This window comes from Homo sapiens, chromosome 18 (genome assembly GCF_000001405.40).
Source record: "Homo sapiens chromosome 18, GRCh38.p14 Primary Assembly".
NCBI lineage: Eukaryota > Metazoa > Chordata > Mammalia > Primates > Hominidae > Homo > Homo sapiens.
Genome location: NC_000018.10, coordinates 24128708 through 24139010, shown reverse-complemented (window position 1 = coordinate 24139010; position 10303 = coordinate 24128708). Strand labels below are relative to the sequence as shown.

The window sequence follows — 10303 nt, the reverse complement described above, 5'->3', positions numbered from 1 at the left end:
GTGCATCACGAAGCTCCGCATCACAAAGCTCCGCACCACTCAAGGAGGCGGGGCCACAGCGGCCGCAGCCAATGGGGAGCCGAAAGCGACAAAGGCCATGATTTGGCCGGCGAGGGAGACTTATTTCCCCTTTTCTGGCTAAATCTGAACGGATTTAGGTGATTTCCCAACAAATAGCCAGGAGTAGCTCAAAGCGACTGCCTCTCCGTCTTTGGTCGTTGAGCTTAAAATTAGAGCTCGTTTGGAAAGAAAGTAAGAGATTTATGGCAGTGCTGTCTTGTCACTGCCTCGCCATTCCACACATTGCTCCTGGCCCCATAAACTATAGCTCTCTTCGGTCACCTTTAGGAATAATAATTTCTGCCACGTTGTAGACACACAGTGAATAATTGTATGCAACAGAGCACTTTTTCTTTTGTGAAACTCGCCTGTGGAATGGGAGTTCAGCATGAATCCAGAAACTTCCTGTTTCTCCACAGTTGAGATCAGACACCAACTATCCCCACAAAGCACACCGTCAGCAACAAGTCAAGGTGTTACTGTGTGTAACTTCAGCTCAATTTTACCAAACTAAAGGAATACTGCTTCATTTAAAAACGCCCACTCTGCCGGGCACGGTGGCTCACGCCTGTAATCCCAGCACTTTCGGAGGCCGAGGCGGGTGGATCACGAGGTCAGGAGTTCAAGACCAGCCTGGCCAAGATGGTGAAACCCTGTCTCTACTAAAAATACAAAATATTAGCCGGTCGTGGTGGTGGGTGCCTGTAATCCCAGCTACTCTGGAGGTTGAGGCAGAGAATTGCTTGAACCTGGGAGGCGGAGGTTGCAGTGAGCCCAGATCACACCACTGCACTCCAGCCTGGGCTACTGAGCGAGACTCCGTCTCAAAAAAACAAAAAACAAAACAAAAAAAACAAAAAAACGCCCACTCTCTGCTCTTTCACTCATTTAGGCTCAGGTATTTGGGCTGGGCTCTAAATAACACCATAATCATGATTATCAGAGTACAAGCAGCCTTAATTTTGATCCATCTTCAAATGTTTAAAAAGCAACTACTTTAAACCAAAGAGCATCGCCAGGGCAGATATCTGACCAAAAACAAAACAAAACAAAACAAAAACCAAACCAAAATAAAACAAAACCCTATTTTTTAATTCAGAAAAAATTAGGGCTTCCAGAGCACTTTGCAATAAAAGCAATGTTAAGGCCTCAGTCAGCATTATCTGGTGCCATTCATTAATCCACTTAATAATTATTTTACTGAGTGCCAGGAAAGCTCCCTCTTCTCGGGAAGTTTACATACTTAAAAAGGGAGAATTAGCGAGACTCCGTCTCACAAAACAAAACAAAAAAAAGGGAGAAATGCTTTTAGACTGAGTATGTTGGTGGGTCTGCAGATATTTTTCATCCTTCATCACTTGCCTCCAGCACCACTTTGGTAATGTAAATAAAAGTGAGATGAGGCTGTCATGATTTCTGATAGCTTGGTTTATAACACATTTAGGTGTCAGAGACATAATGAACTGAGCTACTGAAAATCCTAAGTACCTCATCTATGGTGTCTTTTGGAATTGGAGACATTTATGGTTTTTTTAACGTAACCTTGGTGGGTCATCTCAAACATCTATTAGGTGTAAGGTATTATGCAGAAATACCTGTAACTCAAAAAACAAGATTTTACTCTCCATTTCTTCAGTGACTGTTTGGCTGAGTCATTCTGAAATGCAAATTGTTACAATGTAAACATCTAACCAAGAATTTTCAAACCACTGCCCATCGCTGCTTTGATTTCTTGAACTCTTAATGATTTGATGTGGTTTCACAATCTTGGCTTGTGTTCATCTCCCTTTCAATCACCAGTATGTTATTTTTTGGTCACCAATGATTTAAAACGCAAATGTACCTTCCACTGCCCCTCTCCCACACCCCAAATCCTTACCCTATGGAAGTCCATGGTTGTGGGTGTGGCCTCTGCATACCTCTCGTATTTCATGTCTCACCATGTGATTCCCACTTGACCCTCCAGAGTCTTGAACACACATGTCGCTTATCACCTCTGTGCTTTTGCTCATTAGGTCCAAGGCCTTGGATGCTGCTCCAGCAAGTGTTTTCACCTGACTGCATCCTGCTTCTCCTTTAGAACTCATCTCAGAAATCTCCTACTTTAGGAAGCCAGTGGGTTAGAAGCATTTTCTCAGTGGCCCCATGATGTATGCTCTATGACTTATCCTTGCTATATAATTCTATATAATTCTGCTTGTGTTTGACTCTTCTCCCAGATTTACCAAATCCTTAACAAAAGATGAATAGGGCAATGTTTCTCTAATCCACATCACCTGCATAAGAAATCATCCCAGGAGCTTGTTAAAAATGCCTTCCCAAGCCCTACCTAGAACCTACCAAACCAGAATCTCTATGTAAAACACGGAAATTGACAACCACTGGCCTCTGGGAGGAGGAATTAGGCATTACATAGAGGTCACCTGGGTTTCAAGTGTGTTGCTTCTATTTCATACCCAAGTCAACTAGGTGACAGAGATCAGCCCCCTTGCTAGCTTTCACAAGAAAGCCAGTTAAATTGTGCTCTTGGTGATTTCTGCATACTTTACTGAAAAAGGAGCATTATCTGTTATGGACCAACTTTCTCTTGCTCCCCTTATCCTTCTCTCTTTCTGCATTTCCTCTTCTAGCTTCTAAAGTATCTGCCTCGACTATGTATCTTCTTGGATGATCTCGATTTAACAATTTTCTTTCTACAAAATATACCATCTGCAGAAACCAAAACAGTACATCATGATTTTGTGAATGTGTATCTTCATAGTGAAAACCGTATTTGAATACTTGCCACCATGATTTGCTTAAGGAAGAAATCCACTGGAAAAGTTTACACAGCAAAGGTGTGTGTCTGCGTGTGTGTGTGTGTGTGTGTGCATGCCTGTGCATGTGCTCATTTTAAAAATCAGATATGACTTGTCCTTTAACTTTAGTTGGCAGAGACAGAAAAGTGCAAATTCAGTAAATAATTGACTTACACAATATGTGACAATAAATACTCTAATTTTCTGTGACATCTAAAAGTTATAATTCTTTACTCAGTAGAAGACAGCTATCAGGTGCTAAAATAAAAAAAAGATACCTAACCCAATAAAGGCAAAATCTTAGTTATATTAACCAGCAAGGTACATATTACATTATTATTACTAGACCATGCCTCCAAGTGTGTCAAATTATAAAAATGTGTTCAGCATACATAAAATATACATTAAAGATTTCTCTCATCATAGGCACAATCTAATACAAAAATATATTTGACATTTATAAGTTAGAAGATCCATTGAGAGCCTCCAAAATAGGACAGGGGAAGGAATGAGTGATGACAACATAAAAAAAGAAGCACACATAGATGCAAATAGTTCCACTTATATGATTATTTTCTTCATCAGCAAAGGGTTAAGAGCAGTTTACACCAAACCAAGTTACCAAGCAGATCACAATCAGTTCACAGGTTGGATAAGTCACGGCACGCAGGCCAGAAAATGTACTCAGACTTCAGTCAACCTAATGGGACAGTGTACTCACACTGTGGTTTTGTTGTTTTGGAGTCTAGAAGCTCCATCTACCCATTCTCCATGGTCTACCACCATGTTAACACAGATTTACCACAGGCGCCATCTGTACCAAGCCTAGGATAGACTCTTTAAAAAAAAAAAGACCTGGCCGGTCACAGTGGTTCATGCCTGTAAGCATTTTGAGAGGACAAGGTGGGTGGATCATGAGGTCAGGAGTTCAAGACCAGCCTGGCCAAGGTGGTGGAACCCTGCCTCTACTAAAACTGCAAAAATTAGCCAGGCACGGTGGCAGGAACTTGTAATCCCAGCTACTTGGGAGGCTCAGGCAGAAGAATCGCTTAAACCCGGGTGACAGAGGTTGCAGTGAGCACAGATCACACCACTGCACTCCAGCCTGGGCAACAGAGTGAGACTCTGTTTCAAAATAAAAATAAAAATAAAGATTAAAAATTTTAAAAAGACCTACACTTTGACTAGTAAAGAAAACCTACAGGATGGTGTTGCAAAACGCAAAATTGTCTATCCAGTTAAGTGAGCTGAACACAAACTAATCTGAAGTCCTGAACTCTCTGTGGGGAAATAAAAGTATTTTTTTTAAGCAGGCAGAAATAAATGTTTTGAAAAAGATTCAAAAGCACAGGACCTTATATAATCTTTGAATGTGGAATAATAGTTCAAACAATATTTTGAACTGAAAATTCAAGAATGAACTCTCAAACAAAAATGTCATGATTCAGAATGCTCCATGATGATGACAGAAAAGCTTGTCACCTATGCTGCATGTTAAGAAGAGAGAAAAATGGCAACAGCCGTATTTTAAAGATTCATAATGTTCTTCCCTTCCATCTAGTTAAAACCAGATGTCCAGGCCGGGCACGGTGGCTCACACCAGTAATCCCAGCTCTTTGGGAGGCCAAGGCGGGTGGATCACGAGGTCAGGAGATGGAGACAATCCTGGCTAACATGGTGAAACCCCATCTCTACTAAAAATACAAAAAAAATTAGCCGGGTGTGGTTGCGGGTGCCTGTAGTCCCAGCTACTTGGGAGGCTGAGGCAGGAGAATGGTGTGAACCCAGGAGGCAGAGGTTGCAGTGAGCCAAGATCACGCCACTGCACTCCAGCCTGGGTGACAGAGCGAGACTCCGTCTCAAAAAAAAAAAAAAAAAAAAAAAAAAACAAAAAACAGATGTCCAATATTTTTGGGCACCAATTTTGCTCTTCAGAAAAAAGTTCCCTTCTCATTCACTGAATATAGGAGAGCAATCTCTTCTCTCTTACTATTATCTAAAACCCACACGGAATTCACATCAGGGAGAAAGTCAATGTGAATACACATTTTGGAAACAGTCTACTGAAAAGTGGTCAGTAACAGAGATGAAGAAATATGAATACTGTTTAGCCAAAATCAGTGAGAAATAACTTCTTTCAAAGAAATTATGACTATTCCCTCAAAACAAGGTCAAATCAGATAAAATTTGCCAACATTCTACTTGCTTTTCTGTTTTATTTTGAAAAGAAATATTAAAATATTAATATGAGATCATGTTTCAGCCAAAAGAATTTGTAAATAAACGATACCCTAAAATGATATCCTTTAGCTCAATAAAAATTTCTTTAAAAATCTAACCTTAAACATTGAGCCAAATTATGGCAGAGATTCTTAAAAGTGACTGAGGTATTTAGATTCTTCAAAACCACAGGTTTGCAGTACCGGGCATGGAGGTAAATTAAATGACAAAAATTAGCAATGAAGAATAAAAAAATAACTTTGAATTCCTTGTATAATATCTAAATAACCTGAGCTAAGGGGAAAATGATTAAATCCTGGCACTGTGTAGCCCAGCAAATGTTCCACCAGCAAATATTTTGAGGCCAAAATCTATGTTCATTCACGAATAACCTTTTCAAGTAATGTGTCAAAAGATTTCCAAAAGTTGGTAATTTGACAATTTTCACAAAGAAAGGTAAACTCCTAAAATGTAGATACTGTTTGTCTAATCTATAGACTAGGCTAATAGATTAGCAAAAGAGTCACACTTTTAGTTGTAAAATTATCTTCTATTAATATTTGCTCTTACTTGGTTGGCTTTCAAAGGAAAAAGAGTGTCCATCGCTTTGAAACATTCTGTAGACAATCTGGAGATGACTATTTCTGGTGACATAACTTCAGCTGAAGATTTTGTTCTTTTAATAAGTAAAACATGGAATTCTGGCCTATTAACATGAATTATTTTTACAATAAAAGTCAGTTGGTGGTCAGGAGATCTGCTTTCTATTCATTGCTCTGCTGATAACAGGAATAATTAATTGGGATAAGTCAATTTGCCTTTTTGTGCCTGAGTTTCACTGTCTGCAAAGTGGGGTTAAGAATATCTGTGCTATGTTATTCACTGGAGTATTTTGAGGATAAAGTAAAACACTAGAAAGCACTTTTATTTTTTCAAAACACAAATATAAATGCTATGTCATGATATTGTTAATAATTTTACAGGTACCTCATCATGTTACCCATTCAGATATGTGCTTAAGGTAGGTGTTCCTACAGGATCTTGGGTTGGATGTTCCGTTTGATTTTATTTTAAAAATAATAAATCACAAAACTAAAACGTTTGAGCAAGGTCACTTAACCCTCTCCCCAGGTGGTTAGTTATTATTACCATCATCATCCTCCTCAACATCATTATTACTTTTCAGCTACATGTTTAAAAGAGGAGATCTTTAATATGTCAGCTTAACTGGGAAAATGTGTCCCTGGCACAGGTGGTTTTCAGAAGAAAAGCCCATCTTCACAAGAGCTTTGTCCTCTGCTTTTATTTTAAAGTGCGGACCCTGGGTGGGGAGGGACGGAGCGGGTGTTCCGGGTCTGTCACTGAGGAACCAATTCCCTCAGAGAGGCCAGAGCAGCATGGATGCGGACATGCAATCTGTTTTCAAAGTCGTAGCCAGAGAAATCCTCCTGTAAGATCAAAGAAAGATATTTATGCACTCTGTTAGCTAAGCTTGCACAGGGTACTGTGGTATAAAGCACACTCAATTTTGCATTTCCCAAAGTAAAATCTCTACACTCCCAGTAAAGGTTTCCCATCCACTTGATTTTCATATTACTCAAACCTCAAACTTTGTATTCATTTTTAAAAACGTCAACTGAATGTCAATAAGGTTCTCTTTGGACAATTTTCCTCGAGTTATTCTTGAAAAAGTAGTCTTATGTTGTGCTCAATATAAGTTGCTATTAGAAATTCTTAATTCAGGGACATAGTTATAAAATCAAAAGTTATCTTCCCACCCAAAGACTAAGAGTGTTTCTAAAGCAGGATGAACAATTTCATCGAAGTTCCTTATGATCTTGTAATGTCCCTTAAAACTCAAGAGCTCACTGATTCAATTGGTTGTCATTTTTCCTTTCCAGAAATATTACCAACCAGAACATCATTGCACAAACTTTCTTGAATTCAGACTCAGGTATACAGTGTATGGGATAAGAAGGGCCACTGGAGAAAGGTAGATTCAGGATATTTACCTTTGCTTGAAGAAGTAGAGCTCTGCCTCTTCCTACAGTCTATAAGAAAAACACATTATCCCATAAAATCTGTGTTTATATATACGCAGGCAGAAAATGGTATAATAGGAGGCTATGTTAATTAAAACAATTCACTGTAGACATAGCAATGAGTCAACTGTTCATTCAAGTATAATGACTCCAATATTCTTCTTTTTTTTTTTTTTTTGAGATGGAGTTTCACTCTGTTGTCCAGGCTGGAGTGTGGTGTGCAGTGGCATGATCTTGGCTCACTGCAACCTCTGCCTCCCGTGTTCAAGCAATTCTCCTGCCTTAGCCTCCTGAGTAGCTGGGATTACAGGCACCTGCCACTATGCCCAGCTAATTTTTGTATTTTTAGTAGAGACGGGATTTAGCTCTGTTGGCCAGGTTGGTCTCAAACCTCAAGCGATCCACCCACCTTGGCCTCCCAAAGTGCTGGGATTACAGGTATGAGCCACTGCGCCCAGCCCCAATATTTTTTAATATAAAGATGTTTACTCATTTACATGAGGACATTACTTGATATATAATCACTTGATAAATAATTTTTCATAGTCTATAAAAGGCAACCTCTAAGATATAATATCTTAGGTTAAAATCTTACTAAACAACCTTAAAATTAATGATTATCAAAAGGTTTTATCTGAATCAGTAAGTTATACATAGCTATAAACTTTTTTTTTTTTTTTTTGAGACAGGGTCTTGCTCTGTTGCTCAGGCTGGAGTGCAGTGGCACAATCATGGCTCACTGCAACCTCAAGCTCCAGAGATCCTCTCACCTCAGCCCCCCAGGTTAACTGGGACTACAGGCACATGCTGCCACGCCTGACTATGTTTTTTGATTTTTTTTTTTTTTTTTTTTTTTTTTTTTTTTTTTTTGCAGAGATGAGGTTTCACTTTGTTGCCCAGGTTGGTTTTGAACTTCTGGGCTCAAGTGATACTCCCACCTCAGCCTCCCAAACTGCTGGGATTACAGGCATGAGCCACTGAGCCTGGCCATATTTTAACTTTTAAAAACTGTATTTTTACTATACTTTTTCTATATTTAGATACACAAATACTTACCATTGTGTTACGGTTGCCTACAGTATTCAATACAGTAACATGCTGTACACAATTATAGCACAGAAGCAATAGGCTATAGATACAGCCTGGTTGTGTAGTAGGTGATACCACCTAGGTCTGTGTAAGTACTCTATGATGTTTGCACAAGGAAGGAATTGCCTAACAACGCATTTCTCAGCATGTCATTAAGAGATGTATGACTGTAATTTGAATGCTAGGGAAGAAATTACCTCCTTAAAGATAATAAGGTAGTATTACTAACTTCTTGGATTCATTCTAAGTAAAACCAAGGAAAACAAAATGAAGAACACTGTGTTCAGTTTGTTTTAAATGAAGGGTGCTTTGTGCTTGCCCACTTCCACATTTTTGTTGAACAACATTAAAAATATATATTATATTATATATATAAGATCTTACCTCTGGTTTGTCTAATAGAAGACAGCCAAGTTCATAACAGGCATACGGCTGAACATATAAGTTATTCTGACGACACAATTCATCTTTAACAGCTCGCTGGAAGTACTGAAAGGAATGCAAATGTTATTGGATGAATTCATTTTCCTACTTAGCATAAGGCTTATTATAATCTTCAAGAGGGGGCGGGAAGGGGGACTCATACTCTGTTTTCTAGATCAGATTTTCTCTTCTTTCCTCATCTTCATTCTTTCCTATCTACATCTTAGAAGTCCTTTACATGCTGCCTGATGTGCATTCCTCAGAATATATTGGACTGCCTAATTTGTGCTACTATTTTTCCAGGGGACATATTAGCCTCTATTGATTTTATCACTGAGAACATCTTTTATCTGCATCTAAGAGTCTAAACATCCCATTTTAATATTTAAAACAGAAAACACACAAGGTAACTATGATCTCGACATGCGTCTTGACTGTATCTTGCTAGCACATAAGCATTTGATCTAAAATAAGCTATTTAGGGCTGTGATAACTATCATAAGCCCATACTGAAAGATTAAACTTACAAGGACATTATCATCTAGGATTTAAAAGCCAAGAGTCTCCTATTACTGTACATTAATTCTTTTTTTTTTTTTTTTTTTGAGATGGAGTCTTGCTGTGTCGCCCAGGCTGGAGTACAGTGGTATGATCTCAGCTCGCTGCAACCTCTGCCTCCTGGGTTCAAGCAATTCTCGTGCCTCAGCCTCCCGAGTAGCTGGGATTACAGGTGCATGCCACCACACCTGGCTAATTTTTGTATTTTCAGTAGAGACGGGGTTCCACCATGTTGGCCCGGCTGGTCTCAAACTCCTGACCTCAAGTGATCCATCCACCTTGGCCTCCCAAAGTGCTGGGATTACAGGTGTGAGCCACCGTGCCCGGCCACTGTACCCTGATTCTTTCAAAGAGTAGTCAAAGTAACACTGATATATACTTCTTCAAAACAAGCAATCAAACAAAAAAACAACTCTCTCGCTTGACCCCCAGGGCTGCATCAATAATCCACAGTTATAAAGAGAGAAAACTGAATGCACACTGACATGTCTGATCATTTTTGTTCTTGTCTAACAATGAGACTTCACTCCGCTCCTTCAAAACTGCCTCCTCATGTCCTCCTCTCTCCAGTGGAGGCTGTCATCTTGATAAATATTAGTGCCAGAAAAGGAGGCCATATATAAAGAAGCATTCTAAGAATATGAAGTTAATTAAAAACTAGTATTAACCATCATCAACTTCTAGCATCTGAGAAGATGGCATTAATCAAATAATTGGATAAAGTTTATAGTGGGAGGTTCGGTTTCGTTCAGTGCTTTTTCATTTTTCTTATTCACAAGCATATACGTAGGTGTTCGTGACTTATTTTCTTTAGCCCTGACAACATTAACAGTTTACCTGAACAGCATCTTCTGAGTTTCCTAGACATTTGTGTATGGCACCAAGAAGCAAATACTTTAATCCAACAACAGATGAGTCATCCACTTCATGGCAAGCTTAAAAAGAAGGGGAGTGAACAGAGCAGTAAGCAAATGCATTCACTTAATTCCTTCAATATCATGAAGAGTGAGGTAAATGTTTCAGTTCATGTTTCTGCCTCCTGATATGAACCTAAAACTGCTCTTAATAAAAGAAGTTATGTTAATTTGTTAAAAATGACTTCACATTAAATTG

The 10303-nt window shown here is 39.0% G+C and overlaps 1 protein-coding gene across 7 annotated transcripts in view, besides 1 other annotated feature; it reads right to left on the bottom strand.

Moving 5' to 3' along the window:
• Positions 305–364: an enhancer, noted in NCBI's record as "active region_13171". NCBI's record gives its function as "activates an Ori minimal core promoter by ATAC-STARR-seq in GM12878 lymphoblastoid cells {active_cell/tissue: GM12878}" and the evidence as "EXISTENCE:reporter gene assay evidence [ECO:0000049][PMID:35858748]".
• Positions 3411–10303, bottom strand: part of TTC39C (tetratricopeptide repeat domain 39C) — a 142714-nt gene continuing 135821 nt past the window's right edge. For all 7 annotated transcript variants that reach the window (NM_153211.4, XM_047437297.1, XM_047437298.1 and 4 more), the window contains 4 exons: positions 10028–10125; positions 8594–8698; positions 7091–7129; positions 3411–6526 (listed from right to left, as the gene is read on the bottom strand). In NM_153211.4, coding sequence (NP_694943.2) covers positions 6437–6526; positions 7091–7129; positions 8594–8698; positions 10028–10125 — 332 coding nt within the window. In that variant the 3' untranslated portion in view covers positions 3411–6436. The remainder of the gene's footprint in view (positions 6527–7090; positions 7130–8593; positions 8699–10027; positions 10126–10303) is intronic.